Source organism: Homo sapiens, chromosome X (genome assembly GCF_000001405.40).
Source record: "Homo sapiens chromosome X, GRCh38.p14 Primary Assembly".
In the NCBI taxonomy this organism is placed as follows: domain Eukaryota; kingdom Metazoa; phylum Chordata; class Mammalia; order Primates; family Hominidae; genus Homo; species Homo sapiens.
In genome coordinates this window covers 104,804,971-104,825,250 of record NC_000023.11, presented here as the reverse complement: position 1 = coordinate 104,825,250, position 20,280 = coordinate 104,804,971, and the positions used below count along the sequence as shown (strand labels likewise).

Sequence of the window (20,280 nt, the reverse complement as noted above, 5' to 3'; positions counted from 1 at the left end):
TTTGAGCTAACCCCCAAAGCTTTGCCCACCAACACCAGAACAACCCTTTAGCATCTAGGAACCTCTGCTGTGTCAGGTCAGATCATCTCCCCTGAGAACCCCTGGTATAAGGCACACCTCAAACTTTAATTAGACTATACTTTCCACAGAGGCCTGCTTCCATCCTAACTGAGCAACTAGACTTTAATAATTTCGGAACTCACTATGTAGTTAATGTATTTCGTCTATAGGGTATATTCCCTATGAGATTTGTTTTCATTATCCTCCCCATTTAAGCATTGTGAACCAAAAGAAAAGAGAAACAAACTGTATGGCAATAAATAGTGTGATTTGAAAAAAAGAAATAACTAAGATCAAAGCAGAACTGAATGAGGTAGAGATATGAAAAACCCTTCAAAAAATAAATTAATCCAGGAGCTGGTTTTGTGAAAATATTAACAAAATAGACCACTAGCCAGACTAATAAAGAAGAAAAGAGAGAAGAATCAAATAGACACAATAAAAAAGTATAAAGGGGAGATCACCACTGATTCCACAGAAATATAAACTACCATCAGAAAATACTATAAACACCTCTGTGCAAATAAACTAGAAAATCTAGAAGAAATGGATAAATTCCTGGAAACATACACCCTCCCAAGACTAAACCAGGAAGAAGTCAAAACCCTGAATAGACCAATAACAAGTTCTGAAATTCAGGCAGTAATTAATAGCCTACCAACCAAAAAAGCCCAGGACCAGACTAATTCAGAGCCCAATTCTACCAGAGGTACAAAGAGGAGCTGGTACTATTCCTTGAAAGTATTCCAAACAATTGAAAAAGAGGGACTCCTCCTTAACTCATTTTATGAGGTCAGCATCATATTGTTACCAAAACCTGGCAGAGACACAACAAAACAAAACAAAATTTCAGGCCAATATCCCTGATGAACATCGATGCAAAAATCCTCAGTAAAATACTGGCAAACTGAATCCAGCAGCAGATCAAAAAGCTTATCCACCACAATCAAGTCAGCTTCATCCCTGGGATGCAAGGCTGATTCAACATATGCAAATCAATAAATGTAATCCATCACATAAACAGAAACAATGACAAAAACCACATGATTATCTCAATTGATGCAGAAAAGGCCTTTGATAAAATTCAAATCCCTTCCCGCTAAAAACTATCAATAAACTAGGTATTGATGGAACATATCTCAAAATAATAAGAGCTATTTATGACAAACCCACCGCCAATATCATACTGAATGGGCAAAAACTGGAAGCATTCCCTTTGAAAAATAGCACAAGGAAAGGATGACCTCTCTCACCACTCCTATTCAACATAGTATTGGAAGTTCTGGCTAGGGCAATCAGGCAAGAGAAAGAAATAAACGGTATGCAAATAGGAAGAGAGGAATTCAAATTATCCCTGTTTGCAGATGACATGATTGTATATTTAGAAAACACCATTGTCTCAGCCCAAAAAATCCTTAAGCTGACTAGCAACTTCAGCAAAGTCTCGTGGAGAAATAGGAACACTTTTATACTGTTGGTGGGACTGTAAACTAGTTCAACCATTGTGGAAGTCAGTGTGGCGATTCCTCAGGGATCTAGAACTGGAAATACCATTTGACCCAGCCATCCCATTACTGGGTATATACCCAAAGGACTATAAATCATGCTGCTATAAAGACACATGCACACGTATGTTTATTGCGGCATTATTCACAATAGCAAAGACTTGGAACCAACCCAAATGTCCAACGATGATAGACTGGATTAAGAAAATGTGGCACATATACACCATGGAATACTATGCAGCCATAAAAAATGATGAGTTCATGTCCTTTGTATGGACATGGATGAAATTGGAAAACATCATTCTCAGTAAACTATCACAAGAACAAAAAACCAAACACCGCATATTGTCACTCATAGGTGGGAACTGAACAATGAGAACACATGGACACAGGAAGGGGAATATCACACTGGGGACTGTTGTGGGGTGGGTTGAGGGGGAAGGGATAGCACTGGGAGATATACCTAATGCTAGATGACGAGTTAGTGGGTGCAGTGCACCAGCATGGCACATGTATACATATGTAACTAACCTGCACAATGTGCACATGTACCCTAAAACTTAAAGTATAATAAAAAAAAAATCAATGTGCAAAAATCACAAGCATCCCTATACACCAGTAATAGACAAACAGAGAGTGAAATCATGAATGAACTCCCATTCAAAATCGCTACAAAGAGAATAAAATACCTAGGAATACAAATTACAAGGAATGTGATGGAACTCTTCAAGGAGAACTGCAAACCACTGCTCAAGGAAATAAGAGAGGACACAAACAAATGGAAAAACATTCCATGCTCATGGATAGGAAAAATCAATATTGTGAAAATGGCCATACTGCCCAAAGTAATTTATAGATTCAGTGCTATCCCCATCAAGCTAACACTGACTTTCTGCACAAAATTTGAAAAAAACGACTTTAAATTTCACATGGAACCAAAAAAGATCCCATATAGACAAGACAATTCTAAGCAAAAAGAACAAAGCTGGAGGCATAACACTAACTGACTTCAAACTATACTACCAGGCTACATTAACAAAAACAGCATGGTACTGGTACTTGTACCAAAACAGATATATAGACCAAATGAAACAGAACTGAGTCCTCAGAAATAACACCACACATCTACAACCACCTGATCTTTGACAAACCTGACAAAAACAAGCAATGGGGAGAGGATTCCCTATTTATTAAATGGTGTTGGGAAAACTGGCTAGCCATATGCAGAAAACTGAAAGTGGATCCCTTCCTTACACCTTATACAAAAATCAACTCAAGATGGATTGAAGATTTAACTGTAAGACCTAAAACCATAAAAACCCTAGAAGAAAACCTAGGCAATACCATTCAGGACATAGGCATGGGCAAAGACTTCATGACTAAAATACCAAAAGCAATTGCAACAAAAGTCAAAATTGACAAATGGGATCTAATTAAACTAAAGAGCTTCTGCACAGCAAAAGAAACTAGCATCAGAGTGAACAGGCAACCTACAGAATGGGAGAAAATTTTTACAATCTATCCATCTGACAAAGGGCTAATATCCAGAATCTACAAGGAACTTAAATTTACAACAACAACAACAACAAAAAAACACCCCATCAGAAACTGGGCAAAGGATATGAACAAACACTTTTTAAAAGAAGACATATAAGTGTCCAACAAATATATGAAAAGAAGCTCATCATCACTGGTCATTAGAGAAATGCAAATCAAAGCCACAATGAGATACCATCTCACGCGAGATAGAATGGTGATCATTAAAAAGTCAGGAAACAACAGATGCTGGAGAGGGTGTGGAGAAATAGGAATGCTTTTACACTGTTGGTGGGAGTGCAAATTAGTTCAACCATTGTGGAAGACAGTGTGGTGATTCCTCAAGGATCTAGAACTAGAAATACCATTTGACCCAGCAATCCCATTACTGGGTATATAACCAAAGATTGTAAATCATTCTACTACAAAGACACATGCACATGTATTTTTGTTGTAACACTATTCACAATAGCACAGACTTGGAACCAACCCAAATGCTCATCAATGATAGACCGGATAAAGAAAATGTGGTACATATACACCATGGAATACTATTCACCCATGATAAAGAATGAGTTCATGTCCTTTGCAGAGACATGGATGAAGCTGGAAACTATCATTCTCAACAAACTAACACAGGAATAGAAAACCAAACACCACATTTTCTCACTCATAAGTGGGAGTTGAACAATGACAACATATGGGCACAGGGAAGGAAACATCACACATCAGGGCCTGTCAACAGGTGGGGGGCAAGGGGAGGGACAGCATTAGGAGAAATACCTAACGTAGATGACAGGTTGATGGGTTCAGCAAACCACCATGGCACACGTATACCTCTGTAACAAACCTGCATGTTCTGCGCATGTATCGCGGAACTTAAGGTATAATAAAAAATTAAAAAAAAAACAGATTTACAAGCAAATAGACAAAAATAATTTGTTGTAATCACTGTGATATTTCTGCTCAGTTCTAGATACTCAGTTTCTTTGCCAGAAATTTACAAGTTGTCATATTAATTGTTTTCAGAAGAGATATAATGCAATTGGTGAACAGAATACATAAGAATTGGAGACAAGTTAATTGGGAAACTTGGGACCTTGTTAAAATAAGTTTGTGTTGTAATTTCACTTTGATTTTTTACCAGAAAACTTTTGGACTGATACATTTTACTTATGATTATTTGTCATGGAAATAAATTAAGTAATTGCTTATAAAAAGAAACAGGCTAATAATGGAAACAAAGAAACATATGAGAGTATCACAGTGTCCAAAACTGAGATTAAATATTTTACAAACATTTGCCAGTTATCACATTAGGCATTTTTACATAAGATATCTTATTTAATCACAAAAATGAGTAAGGAGAATATTATTCCTATCTTACAAAGGAGAAAACTGAAATTCAGAGACGCTAAGATATTTGTCTATAGGCATTTAGTGAGTTTCTGGCAGTGCTACAGCTTAAACCCAGAGATTCAAACATTAAGCACAGTATTCTTTTTATTCTACCGCAACTGCTATGAAAATCAGAAATGTTGTACTGAGTTAGACCTATGAGTTAGACCAGCTCTCAATGCTGGTGCTGAGGTCACAATGTAGCATGGAGGCAAGGCTCAAAACCTGCTGCTTTAGGATGAGAATTAGCCCAGGGCTCAAGAGTCAGAAGGCAAAGCTGAATCAGCAGTTGAGACAAGATAATAAATTAAATCAAGCAAGCACACACAGGTCTAAAGGTACAAAGAACAAAGTGTGACAGGCTAGACCAAGCAAAATATGGGAACCAAAAAAGCCTAAATCCTAGAGAGTAAGGCAAATACACAGGAGTCTAGAAACTCACATAAACCAAATGGCTGGGCTCAGTACTCAGGAGAGCAGATACATGATACCAATAACAACGGATGTTTAAAACCAGTGAAACCCATTTCCTGGCCAGGTAACTTCTTATAAACTTTAACAACGATAAGAGACAGTTGTGGAAAGAGTCTAATAGGTATCTGTCTCTGATATTGATCTCAAATGACAGATTGAAAATTTTAAAGCACATTCCATTTTTCATATCTAATACCAGTCAAACTTTTCTTTATCTAGAGAACACAGGGTGGAAAACTGATCATATATTTAAGATTTCTATTGGTTGCATAAAGACCACTTTAGGAAAGATTTAAAAACACACGTTTATGGGAAATTTTGCAGGATTAAAAAAAAACCCTCATATTTATACTTAGAGATGAATAGGCAAAAAGCATTTCAAGATAATATGGACAAAATCAGCCCTCAACAAGAGGTGCTTGTTTCTAAAGGAATAATAGCCAAAAGCCTTCAGCTCATTGTATTGAGAACATAACATCACACAAACAGTGTAAATCACAAAGCATTTTTACCGCATAATGTTATCATATGGAAGCACATTTTGCTAAGGTAAATATAATCAATGGGTACACTTCATTTCTCCTTTAAGCACACATGTTATAGGGACAACGTGTACTAGGAGAGTGTTGGCTACCTCTCCAGGGATGTGCTGATCAGTGAATCTCAACAGAACTAGATCTACCCATTTCTTAGAGTCATTTCTTTGAAGTACAGTTGCTAAAATAAAAGTACCTTATCTTTTCATCCATATGATAATCAAAGAAACCTCCCATCCTCCCATGATATAAAAAAAATTGGTTAGGGTAGATAGGCCAACCTAACCAAATGCTTTTCCGGACAGTTTCTGATTCAGGATAGTTTGTCTTAACAATTGTTTGACATTACAATGAGTATATTAGGATGTAAACCCATCATAAGTCAAGGAGCTCCTTATGACTTAGGATGGGGTTACAGCTTCTACTGAATGTGTATTGCTTTCCCACCATCATAAAGTGAAAAAGTCATAAATTGAACCATCATAAGTTGGGAACTATCTGCTGTGTTGTAGTATTAAACACATTTTTGACTTTATATTTTCAATTTACGATTGGTTTATCTGGACGTAATCCTATTGTAAATTGAGAAGCATCTGTGTATGTTGGAACCACATTTTTTTGCCTTTGTTTAGGATACGGCACTCTAAATGCTATCTGCTCACCAAGGCCTTTCATTCCATGAAGGCTATTGGCTCTGTGCATGCTCCAACTGTCTTTTCCACATGCAAGCCAGCTTGGGCTCTTGAGTTAATACAGTAACAACAACAACAATAAACATGACAGATACTATTCATTGAACACTTACTATATGCCAGGCATTGTGCTATGTACTTTATCTCATAGAAATATAGGAAGTATCCCTGCCCCTCTATTGTACTCTGGATCCCATTCCCTCCTGTTTTCTCTTCTTTAATTTCTCCTTTTCTAGTGTATGTCTCTATTGCAATATAAACATCCACTATAACTTTCTATATTATAAAAAATAGATCCTTCCTTGATGACTCATCCAGGCCACCATTCAATTTTTCTATGCATCTTCATAACCAAGCTTCTCAAAGGAGTCAAATTCAATTGATGTTTCTATGTCCTGATTTTACACAGTTGATTACTCTCTTCTTGAAACACTCTTCTGTCTCAACTGTCATGAAAGGTAGATTTCCTTCCTACCTTCTTTCCATATCTATTCATTTTCTTTACTGATTCCTCACCCTCTATGGCCCCGAGATTGATCCTGGGCTCTCCTCCCTTCTCTTTCTAAATTATGTTTCTTGGTTATGTCATCCACTATCATAATCTTAAAAATCAGAATACCTACTTCTCCCAAGATTACATTCCTGGATCACAATTCTGTGATCTCCAGACACAGAAAAACTGACCTTTTTTTTTTTTTTTTTTTTTGAGACGGAGTCTCTCTCTGTCGCCCAGGCTGGAGTGCAGTGGCGCGATCTTGGCTCACTGCAAGCTCTGCCTCCCGGGTTCACTCCATTCTCCTGCCTCAGCCTCCCGAGTAGCTGGGACTATAGGCACCCGCCACTGTGCCCGGCTAATTTTTTGTATTTTTAGTAGAGACGGGGTTTCACCGTGGTCTCGATCTCCTGACCTCATGATCCTCCCGCCTCGGCCTCCCAAAGTGCTGGGATTACAGCTGTGAGCCACCGCGCACGGCCAAAACTGACTAACTATATACTGATATTCCACAGGCATCTCACACTCAACATGTCAAAAAACAAAACTTGTTATTCACTAAACACACGCCCGAATCTATTCCTCCTTCACTTTTCCCCATCTCAATGAATGGCACTACCACAGGACCAGTTGCTCAAGCTTGAAAAATAGGAGTCATCCTTGATCCTTCCTTGTATCTCTATATATATCATCTTTTTATTAATAGTACTAACAGCATTAGTTTCAGTAATAAGAAGAGATAGTCTTTCTTAAACATCAATTAAATGTCAGACACTGTGCTTATTATTTTATCTGTATTCATTTAATCTTCATACCAAGGCTTTGAGGTAGGCACTATTATTGTTCCCATTTTATAGATAAGAAAATTGAAGTACAGAAGGTAAAGTAACTTGCCTGAAGTCATACATCTACTAAATGGTAAAGCATGGGGTTGAATCCAGCTCCAGAGCCCATCCACTGAGCAACTACATTAGGCTGCCTTATTTCTGTTTCATTTCTAGTGTGTCTCTGCACTTAAATTTCTTGGATGGGCAGTGTTGGGGCTCAGAGAACAATGCCCCAAAATTAAGGCCTCAGGATCAGCCTCAGATACAAGTTTTTCTTTAACCTTCTGCTATCCTCCTTTCTCACAGTTCCATTCTCCCTCGAGGCTTGCCATAGAAACTAGAATCACCCTTCTTCAAGGCAGGTCATGGAAACCAGAACCCATGTTCCCCCAAGCCAGCCATAAAACCTAAAAATATTACTTTAACTTTCCCTCTGACTTTCTGTGGCAAAACCAGCCATAAAGAAATTATCTGGCCTACCTTGTTTGGCTGTAGCTCATAAGACCCTTCCATTCCAGAGAGGGTCCTGCCCCATGCCCAGAAGGAAGAACTGTGTGCTCAGAGAGGCCAAGAAGAATCTAGACAGACAGGACTTGCTGGGTTTCCCCACTCAACCTATTCATTAGATCATACACTTTTTGTCCAATCATGTTTCTACATAGCTGTCCATACTTTGTTGAACCTAAGCATAAAAATTAAGAGTTCCCCCTGTATCTTTTGGTCTTCATTCTAAAGGATCCCATGTACATACGTTAAATAAATGTATATGTCTTTTCTCCTATTATCTGCCTTTTGCAAGTTGATTTCTTAGTGAAACTTCAAAGCAGCTACCAAGTTACTTAGGGAAACAACCTTCAATGAAAATCTCCCTGTGATGCAATTAACCCTCTAAGATAGGCAATACTACACATATTGAAAGTTAAGTTGAGAAAGGTTAAGTAACTGTTTAGGGTCATAAAGCCATTAAGTGTTGAGCTTAGAACCCAAACCAACTCTTAATGATTCCAGAGCCCCCAAATTTAACCATTGGGCTATACCTCCTCTTTTCTGAGTTTTCTACACTGATTCAAACTGCCTATCATACATTTTTCCATCACGACATTTGACTATCAAATCATAACTAAGCATTTATTGTGCAAAGAAAACTTTGCCTCAGGATCATAAAGTCATTAGCAGTTATTCTCATTTTTTAAAGCCATGCTTCTTTTTAAGTCATTCTGAGAGAGATGAGGTCATTCTAGGAAGGAAGGAAGGACTAATCAAAGACTAAGGAGACTGATGAAAGCATTTTGTCTGAAGGGCTCACTGCGTGCCTTCCTCTATGTACAATTATTGGAGTATTGACTCACTATCAGTAGGGCAGAAACTCAGGAGTTCTTTCTCCAATAATAGAAATAGAAACCTTGCATATATCTAGTCACTTTGGGGTGGTTAATCTAAACTCCTTTTGTAAAATAACCCAGGATAAGGAGTACAGACTATAGTCATGAATTAGAATTACACTGTAGCCCACATAAAAATTAAATCCATGGCTCTGACCAAAGCAAGTTAGGGAAAAGTCACAAGTCATATAGTATCCTCAACAAAGTTATTTTTTTTCTAAGCAGGCCACATGTCAGAGCACTGAAGCATCAGAAGTAGAATTAGAAACAGAATATAAATTAAAGAGGTTCTAGGGAATTGGCTACAGGGACTGTAAAAATATTATCTTTAAACTTAAATTTTAACTAGCATGGAATGAAATATTTTAGAAGTCTTCCTAAACAGAATTTTTGCCCCAAAAATGTACATATGCTGTGATTGACTCTATGTATTTTATTAAATTATCAAAAACACGTATGATGTCAGCAGAGGAACAAAGGGAAAAGGCTAGGAACCAAAAAAAAAAAAAAAAATGAGGGGGGTGGAATGTGTCCCAGAATGAAACAGAAGGCTATAAAGCAGAGGGTGAAGAAAGCATTAAACAATTAGCTCTGGGAAAAGAAGGGTAAGTTTAAGATTATTCACAAAATTGTGTCCATGGACTTTATCTTATACTATGTCTTAAATCACAGAACTAAACAGTATCAACTTTCACTCTAACAGACACACATTACATGTATAAATGTATTCATATGCATTAAAAAACATAAAATTATTTTAAAGCAGCATGACTAGGCTCTCAAGCCATTTGTCTCTCATAAAATTTACAAATTATTTTATATCTTCAGAAGGTCATTGGCTTTCACTCAGTGTTTCCTGCCCTGTATCTCCTATGTCATCTACATACTCTTCACCAGAGTTTGTCCAGAGTTAGTTGGTTCTTTGAAGATGGAAGGGTACCACAGTCCAAGGAATTCAGGCACCCTCAAGAAGGTGAAAAAGACAAAGAAACTAATTCTCCCCTAGAGTTTCCAGAAAAGAATGCAGCCCTGCCCACATCTTGTTTTTTTCTCAGTGATACCCATTTTGGACTCCTGGTTTCCAGTGCTGTAAAATAATAAATGTGTGTTGTGTTAACCACCAAGATTGTTGTAATTTGTTACAGCAGCAATAGGAAACAAACATAATCCCCTTTCCCTATCCCAATTATTTGCTTTCTTAGATTTTTCTTTTTTCTCCACTATTGAACTCCTACATCTTCAACAGAGAATACTAGCAACTCCATCTCTCATCTTTGTTATACAAGCACAGGCTGCCAAGACCAAAGAATGTCTTCTTCACATACTGCTCCTTGCTCCGCACTTGCCATTTATTTGCAGCAATTCAAAGATCTGATGAAGTTAATTTGAGGCCTCAAGTGACATCTGTCCCTTTCATTTATACCATCTTCCTACTTTCCTATATTGCTGTCCTCCCCTATTATTGTCCTCTCTTCCTCCTGGGCTGCTTCAGAGGGCATAAGAACCAAAAAGAACTCATTAAGAACATTTCTTGGCTCTCACTTTCTTTGATGTAGAAATAAGGCAAGCGCATTCTTGTATAATGCAGACTGCCACACAAAGGAGCAGAATTTGACACAAAGAAATAGATGTTTCATCTAAATCCATGCCTCCATACAGGTCTACCAGTAGAAAGACAACTGAGGGAGGTTGACAATAGAATCATTGTCAAAAATTCTACTGTCTTTTAATAATCAAAGAAATGGTAGTGGGAATCTAAAGGTCTTCCTCTATGTTAGATTGCTTTGTACAATAAGGTGGCAGGTCTCGTTAAATCAGTCAAATATCCATTGAGTGGCTAAACTGCATGCCTGCAATTTTGCTCATCTCTAAGATGATAAAATATAAGTATGGTTATAGTCCCTTTCCCAAGGGAGTTTCAAATCCTGTTAGGGAAACAAAATCAATAAATACTAAATATTCAGAAACTAATTCAATGCAATAAATCATCAAGAGGCAAATCATATGGTTATTATTCACAGTGGGGATGTACGATACAGTTCAGAGAAAGGTCAGATTAGTAATGGCCAGAGTAAGTGGAGAAAACTTCTTAAATAGGTATCCAGGTAAGAAAGCCAGTTTTTCTTTGCCATTGACTTGATTCCTTCAGCACAAATACTATTTGTGAAGGAGGATAAAGATGTCTGCAGAGGTGCATTCCTGGGTCAGTGCTAGCCTATCTGAGTACAGCTCCTCTTTCCCTGTTACTGAGAACAGGGTCCTTACCCCTGGTACCCATGCTCAGAGAGATGGCTAGGATAACTGAATAAAAGAGATGGAACAAATTTAAAAAGGCAGCAGGGAAAAAAACAGAGTCTAAATAAAGAAAAACTAGAAAGACCAAGGAGGAAGGAAGTGACATCCACCGACCTTCAAAATGACAATTACAGACTCTTTGTCAAAGCTCATAGTTGAAAAGAGCTGTAAGAACTAAGCCTAATAACTCCCCAAATGCTGCTTTACTGGCATGAAGACACAGCTGCAGTTTCCTTTCTCTCTCCTGCTCTTGCCTACCAGGAGAGTCTTGGAAAACATTTTCTGGATAGCTGGCAGCAGAGGTCACTGGCATTGGGCCCTGTTCTTCAAACCAGCAATGTTATACCTAAGATAATAATAATGAAAAGAAGCTGAGTCTGATGCTATCCTAAGGAAAGGACTGAAAAAGTGACCACATTGTTGGTGGCAGCTGAAATTTACACAGATCTGGGAGGTATACAACTCTGTGGCACAAAAAACTCGGCATATAGCAGATATTTAACATAAGCTTGTTGGAATGAATGATCAAATGAGTGACTGTACATACAACACAAGCCCGAGAATATGAAGATTTTCTAGTACAATGTATCTAACAATATTCATAAACTTGCTTTCAATGAATGCTCAAAGCTGAGTCCCACAAAAAAAAATCTTTATGCTTCTGGTGTTTGTCTACCTTTTCAGCCCCATCTGATACCACTCTCCTATTTGTTCACCATGCTCCACTGATCTTCTCTGAAATCCTTAGGCATTCCTTGCTCTTTCCCTTCCCAAGGCAATTGTACATGCATACTGTTTCCTAAAGCAATCCCTTCTCCCCATCCCACCACTGCTGACTAGCTCCTACTCATCCTTGAGGTCCCTGTATAAATACCACTTCCTCAGAAAGGATTTTTCAATCTCCCATATGAGGCCAGCCATAAAAGTATGAATCAGTACGTCACTTACAACATTCACGTAATCAAGGAAAACAGTTGCTATTCTGAGAAGTAATCTAGTTCGCTAATAGAATATCACCAAGTGTCACTGTTATAGTTGAGTGAATAAGCTGAAGAGAACATGGGCCTTGCTCATTTTGCTAATTCTTAATTTTTGTGCCTAGCATAGTCCAGTGACATAAGAACAATAAAGTCAAACACAGTTGAAAACCAGTCATTCTCTCTTTGCTTTTACTCTACAGTCCAAAAATCAGGCCCCTCCTTCTCTACACATCCTTCCCTCCCTCCCGAGGCAGGACATTTCCCACCACCACACTACCCTCCTCTTCTATATTGTGGCCCCATTCAACACTCAGAAAAATGAATCTGCTGACAGAATGGACACATAACTCAAACCCCATAACACTTAAATAGTGACTATAATTTTGTTTCTATTCTTCAATCCCTTCCATAGGCAAATGATCCTATGGGCCACCTATTACCAGCTTTCATCTCCAAGTCCCCTCTCCACCTGTATGCCTCCACAAAACAGACTTTACTGGATGTAGTGAGATAAGTGCTGCTGCTCTTGTTAAGGCAGAAAAAAAAACAGAACAATCTTGTCTTCATTCTTCACTAAGACCCCATCAGGAAGTCCCTGGTAATACTCTCATTGTGGTCATAGTAGGAATGACAGCATGGTCTCCATAAACATCATGACACAGAGTGGCTCTCTTTTTGTTGCATTACAGGGAAGGTCTATGGGTCAGTTGCATTTTTTTCCAAACCCAAGCATAATCATGAGATGGTAATATAGCATTAGTAAGTCCCCATTTTATGTCATTGACAGAAATATAGACACTATCATATTGTAAGCACTAATAGTGTAGGACTCTGTATGCAGACCATCAGCAGGGTTTCCAGGGGTCTAGGATCACAGGCTGGAAACTACTGATAGTATATTTAGTAATTCTGTATTGCTTCTTCAGGGGGTGCTGTTTGATGAGCAGAATGTTTGTCGGTTGAAATGAAATTCAAAGCCCTGCGGTGCATTTCAAGTTTCTCAGCAGGCCATTTGCATTGCCCTTCCTGCCATCATAGTAAACTCTGCATTTTTCCTCCCCAAACTCATTAACCTATGGGAGACAAGAGACATTTCTTATTAGTACAATTGCAGAACTGACAGAAAAGAGGGCCAGAATAGCACCAAGAATATATCTGAGCACAGGGCTCAGGTTCCTGCCACAAACAGCGTTCAGTCTCTCAGTGATCAGATCCTTCACTGCCTGTCTGCTCTTCATTCAAAACTGTAACCAGAGACAGCAGACCTTCAATGAACTTCTAGACAAGGTCATCATTCTTCCCTTACCCAATACCCATTGTGGGACCCAGACACTGCTTCTTTTGAGTCACTTCTGATGATTCGCTAAGACCCCATACACTATGTCAGCAGACTTAGATGAAAGTCTATTATCCCTTATTTCTAAAATAACTGCATCAGATGTGTTCTCCATCCACACCTCCCAGACATCTCCCACACTTTGCTCCCTCAATCACCTGGTTCCTCCTTACTCTGCTTTGCAAAAATTTGTCCCTCTTTCAAAAACAGAAAAAAAAAGAGGGGGAAAAATCCTCTTTGGCTTGATTCTGCTGCCATTTTAGAGACCAATTACTTTTCTCCTTCCATTCAATAGCAAACATTAAAAAAGAAATTATCTCAATGCCTCCATCCTCTCAGCAGCACTTTCCCCTTAATCTCTTATCCTCTGGCTTCCGTAATCACCAAAGCACTGCAATTATTCCTTAATGGGTTACATGTGACCTGCTTTTTTTTCACTGTCTTTATTCTTGAACTCTGTAGTTTTACCTGATGTTGATCATCCCCTCTTTCCTGACTCTTCCTTGTTTTTTTGTTTGTTTTGGTCACTATGCAATTCAGGGTTTTTTTTCTGTTACTTTTCTAGGCAGTTATTATTTGTCTCTCTACTGATTCTTTTTCTCACACTTACAGGTAGGTACTATCTAAATTTCTGTCTCCAGTCCTCTGTTGTTTTTGTCTCTAGCATTTTCTCCCTGAGGAGTGGAAAGCTATAATAAAGCCAGAGTGGCAGATTCAAATGCTTGCAAGGCCCAGGCAGATAATGTAAATAAATGTAATATGTAAATATGTAAATGTAAATAAAGAAAAAATGGGTGGGTATAAGATACAATTAGGAATAGTGGATACTGGGTATAACTACACTCAACACAAATTTCTAAGGGAAGAACTGCTATGCAGCCTCAGACAAATCATGCCATGTGTATGTAAGTTGGCTAAATGTTGCCACCTCTTCCAATTTCTCATCAGAAACCCGAAGTCTGGATTTTTCTGTTAACTCTCCAAATTTTTTAATGTTAGCCACTGATTCAGTTTTTCAGAATGTTGTAGGCTGTATCAGTTAGGACAGGCTAGGTTATGCTGCATTGACACATGACCCTGAGATCTTAGCTTACAACAAGTTTTTTTTGTTACGCATATCATCTCCCATCATAGGTAAGTTGTGTCTCTGTTCCATATCATGTTCAAGCTGACAGAGCTACTTCTATCTAGAATATTGATGACCTCATGATAGAAGGAAAAGAAAATCTGGTGGATTATACACTTAAATTTTGCCTTAATGCTCATCTCAAAAATAATGCATATTATTTCTGCTCACATTTCTTTTCTTTTCTTTTATTATTATTATACTTTAAGTTTTAGGGTACATGTGCACAATGTGCAGGTTAGTTACATATGTATACATGTGACATGCTGGTGTGCTGCACCCATTAACTTGTCATTTAGCATTAGGTATGTCTCCTAAAGCTATCCCTCCCCCTTCCCCTCACCCCACAACAGTCCCCAGAGTGTGATGTTCCCCTTCCTGTGTCCATGTGCTCTCATTGTTCAATTCCCACCTATGAGTGAGAATATGCGGTGTTTGGTTTTTTGTTCTTGTGATAGTTTACTGAGAATGATGATTTCCAATTTCATCCATGTCCCTACAAAGGACATGAACTCATCATTTTTTATGGCTGCATAGTATTCCAAGGTGTATATATGCCACATTTTCTTAATCCAGTCTATCATTGTTGGACATTTGTGTTGGTTCCAAGTCTTTGCTATTGTGAATAGTGCTGCAATAAACATATGTGTGCATGTGTCTTTATAGCAGCATGATTTATAGTCCTTTGGGTATATACCCAGTAATGGGATGGCTGGGTCAAATGGTATTTCTAGTTCTAGATCCCTGAGGAATCGCCATAAAAACCCTAGAAGAAAACCTAGGCATTACCATTCAGGACATAGGCATGGGCAAGGACTTCACGTCTAAAACACCAAAAGCAATAGCAACAAAAGACAAAATTGACAAATGGGATCTAACTAAACTAAAGAGCTTCTGCACAGCAAAAGAAACTACCATCAGAGTGAACAGGCAACCTACAAAATGGGAGAAAATTTTCGCAACCTACTCATCTGACAAAGGGCTAATATCCAGAATCTACAATGAACTCAAACAAATTTACAAGAAAAAAAACAAACAACCCCATCAAAAAGTGGGTGAAGGACATGAACAGACACTTCTCAAAAGAAGACATTTATGCAGCCAAAAAACACATGAAAAAATGCTCACCATCACTGGCCATCAGAGAAATGCAAATCAAAACCACAGTGAGATACCATCTCACACCAGTTAGAATGGCAATCATTAAAAACTCAGGAAACAACAGGTGCTGGAGAGGATGTGGAGAAATAGGAACACTTTTACACTGTTGGTGGGACTGTAAACTAGTTCAACCCTTGTGGAAGTCAGTGTGGCAATTCCTCAGGGATCTAGAACTAGAAATACCATTTGACCCAGCTCACATTTCATTGACCAAAGTAAGCCATGTGGCTAAGGTTGATGTTAAGGGGAAGGCGGAGCAGAGAGAGGCATCAAGTGTTTGTGAACAGTAATATAACCCTACTGGCCAAACATAACTATCAGTGGTCCATTACCAGTTTGCAACTTCTCGTTTTCAGGTAAAAGTAAACAACTAAGACTCAAAAGATCTGATTTATCATCACCTCTCAGGAACTGTGTGAAGCCCTAGGCAATTTATATCATCTATTGGTCTTATCTGTAAAATGAGGGACCTCAAGTACACGACTTTTAAGATCCCTTTTCAGACTTAATGTGCTGAGTGTGTGAAAAGCTCTGTGAAGGTAGACCACTCTTGATGCTGAACCTCAGAACTGCTCTCACCCAAGTCCCAGTCCTACATTTTCCAAAGATTGCTTCGCATTTCTACTTAAATATCTAACTGCCAGCGTTCAACAACTAATCCAAACTACTCTTCCCTCCAACATTGATTTTCTTCTGGCCAATATCTCTGGAATCATCTTTACCTCTTTTCTCTCTCCAGTCCCCCATCTCCCGCAAGATTGTCTTCTTACTTTTTCTTATATCTATCCTCTCCTTTCAAGCCTGATAACTATCAAGATTAATCATGCTCCTTATCTACTTGCACTTGAATGGCTGACTTGGCTTGCTAACTTGGCTCTTGCGACTCCTATTCCTAATGTTTTCCAGTTGTCATGTTACCACCTACTGACCTCCATCCACCTAAACCCATAACCTCAATCCTGCTCAAAAGTCTTCAATAACTCCTCACTCCCTTCAGGGGAAAGTCTAAGGTCCTTTGCCTGCCATTCAAGTGGCCTTCCACAACTGACTGTATAAATCTAAGTCTCTTAATTTCCCTGATGTTTAGTGTCCCCATTTATGAAATGGGCATAATAATAGCTTACTCTACCTATGTCAGAGGGTTATGATAATATGAAAAAATGGTGATATAAAATATAAAGGAGGCAAGACAAACTATTGTTTAAGCAACCCACAGTTTCTACCACTGCAAATGCAAATAAATTAATGGAGTTTTATTTGGCCAAAATAAAGTTTCAGGAATGATTTTTCCTAATAAGTAAACATCTAATAATTTGCTTGCAGAGTGAGATGTTAAACTAAATAACCTGTCTTAAAGGTTCCTTTCAACTCTGAGATTTAATTGTTGCCTCATAACTACTGCTTACATTAGAAAACTAGAGTGAAAATAATTTGTGGAAATGACAGCAATGCCTAGCAGTTAATACCATGAGTTCTGGAATCGGCCAACATTGGTCCAAATCTTGACTTCCCCACTTATTGGCTGTATGAAGTTAGATAATTGAATTAACACATAAGTGCTGTTTTTATTTAAAAATGTTTTGTTCATAAAGAAAAAAATGGAACAAAATGAAAAGTCCATTTATATTACATAGTTGCTTTAAAAAAAAAGATACAGAGACCAATGTATTAACATAGAAAAAATCTCCAAGACATATTGTTATGTGAGAGGGAAAACGGATACTATATACTATAGTGGAATCCTATTTTTGTACATATATTTATTTATAGATGGATGGGTAAAGATCTGGAAGGATGCATGATGAAGAGTTAACCGTGATCGTCTGGGGGGTTGAGACTGATGGTGGGCTTGTGGAAAATAGAACATGGATTTTTAATTCTTATACATTGCTGTACTAATTAAAATTTTTACAAGTTTGCATTATTGTATATTGAGCATTTTCAAAGGAAAAAACTCTCCTAAGAGATGTTTTGTTCTCATTTGAAGCCAAGGTCTTACTACTTCCAAATAAAGATAAACCCTATTCCAAAGCATCACCAGAGCCCTGCAGGGGTAGACCTCAAACAGGCCTATCCCACTAAATGATGTTTCCTGCAAAGTGAGCTTCCCCTCACCTATTATTCCCGTAAATACTTAAGAATGTGAAAGAGTTGTGGTCATTTATTTGACCTTGGTGAGTAGGTAGATTTGTAGTCAGAGTCTGCAAAATAGTCGGGAAGTAACAGGAAAGGATTAAAATAAAATATAGTAAAAATGGCAAAAGGACCTTCTAGATCCTGACAAAATCCTTATTTCAAGCAAGTGGTGTCACCCACAGCTGCATACCCCCAAGGAAATTTGCAGAAACCTGAGCACCATGCTTTCACCAGGAAGCATGGTGCCCTATCTGCTGCTATTCATACCATCCCTCTAGTTTCTAATCCTTTGTCATAAAAGAAACATCACCTCAAACTGTATCTGTTGGCATCTTTCTGCCATCTTATCACTATCCTGTTTTGACAAATACACAGAAATACAAGCAGCCAACAGCATTTACAGAGGACTACCCCCGGACCAGGCACTATGCTAACCCCTTTACGTGGATTATCTCAGTAAATCCTCTCAATGGCCACATGCAGAAGGTAATATCATTTTACTACCAACTTCTTTGCTGTTCTCGATCCTCTCAGGTATACCATTCTCAGGAAACTATCCCCAACCTCAGCAGCAGCAGCCAACAAAACCCCAAATAAGCTGCTTCTTTTACTGCAGTGACCAGAGAACAATGTCTTCAAGAATGCTGTAAAGCCAGCCCCATGGCAAGTGTTGTACCACAAAGGAGGGGGAAGCCATTCCATGACTTTTTCAAAATTCTCTTCATTCCAGCTTTCTCAGTAAGGTAATCTGATTCATGAATTCCAGATTTAAACGGTTGCTTAGAAACTGACAGGTTTTCAGTCTACTGTATGGGGCAAAGAGAACCAACCTGCTGTCCCTACACAAGGAAGTAGTTTTTCCCGTTGACCTCTGTCAGAAGAGTGGCAGATGACCTAATAGCAGCCAGTGCAGAAGCCATCCCTTTCTGAACTGAGGAAACTCTTGAAACTGTTTCCAAATGCAATTGCATCAGGAACTAAGTCTGGCCTATATATACTCAGCTGTAAGTAGCTTTGATACAACAAAGGGCACCTGCTTCAGAGAAATAAGACACATTCAGATAGTTGTGTATCACCTTAAAGCTTAAACAGAATTCCCACCCAGAATGTCCTTCTTTCTCTTGTCCATCTAAACTGCAAACTTTTACAAGGCCCAGGTGTACTCTCAAAGGCTGAAAAATGTAATGAAATAGTTCTCAAACCTGGTGGCATATTAGAATCTCCTGGGGAGCTTTTAAAAGCTGCCAATGTTTAGTCCTCATCCCAGATCAATTGAACCAGAATCTCTGCAGAGTTGGGCCTGGCTATCACTATTTTTTAAAAACTCCCTGGTGATTCTCATATGCAGCCAGGGTTGAGAATGACTAGTGTGGCTATTAAGAGCAAAGGCCTCTAGGTTCAAAAAGATTTGAACTAGAGTCTCTGTTTCAACAGTTTCTAGCTGTGTGACTTCTAGTAAATTAACCTCTTGGAGTCTTGGCTTCATCTGGAAAATGAGTGTAATAGTACCTACCACATAGGGTTATTTTGAGGGTTGAAGGACATAATTCATGTTCTATGCCTAGCACATAGTAAGTATGCAGTAAATGTTAACTGTTGTGATTATTATTTATTATCAACAGCAATTATGGAAAACCTTTGATAACTACTCCCAGGCTAGGATTGCACAGTTTTCAGTGCTATAAGAACTTTAGAGATCATTTTATTCAGTGCAGAGAGGTGACATGACACACATTTCAGAAAAACAAACATTTACCAAGCCCAGGACAGTTTTAATTCTGATTCCAAGTCCAGTACTCTTTCCACTACACTCATTTCATTTCAATAAATGTACTGAACACTATGTGTCCAATTCTAAGGTAGGTTCTTGGGACAGAAAGATAAATTACTATCAAATTGCCCCTACCCTTGAAGGTCTCAGTCTGGTAGAGGAATCCAATGTGTAAGTGAATAATTACAGTGAATAATAAACCCATTTATACCTGAGGTTGCAATTTAATTTTTCAATCAGACCGTGGTGATGACCTTGAGCAGTAGGATATAAATAATTCCCACATGCTTAGCGTTCCAATAATGGAACACTAGGCATTAACATGTGCTTTTATACTCTCAGTGAGTCTAAGATTCTATGGGCTTATGAGAGGTAATGTGATTAACTCTGGGTGGGCTGATGACGATTGCACTGAATAGGCAATGACTGTATCTCAAAAGAGAAATAGGAATTTTACAGGTGGAGAGGGATGTATACACTGGACGTTTTAGGCAGAGAAAACAGCAGGAGAAAAAGGCACTATATTAGCATGCCTCTCAGCTCTATCTTCTTGCAACCTCTAGAACACTTGT

At 38.4% G+C, this 20,280-nt stretch overlaps 1 protein-coding gene across 1 annotated transcript in view; it reads right to left on the bottom strand.

The window, feature by feature from the left end:
• IL1RAPL2 (interleukin 1 receptor accessory protein like 2) overlaps window positions 1-20,280 on the bottom strand; it is a 1,201,631-nt gene that overhangs the window by 942,579 nt on the left and 238,772 nt on the right. The gene's annotated exons all lie outside the window — the stretch shown is intronic.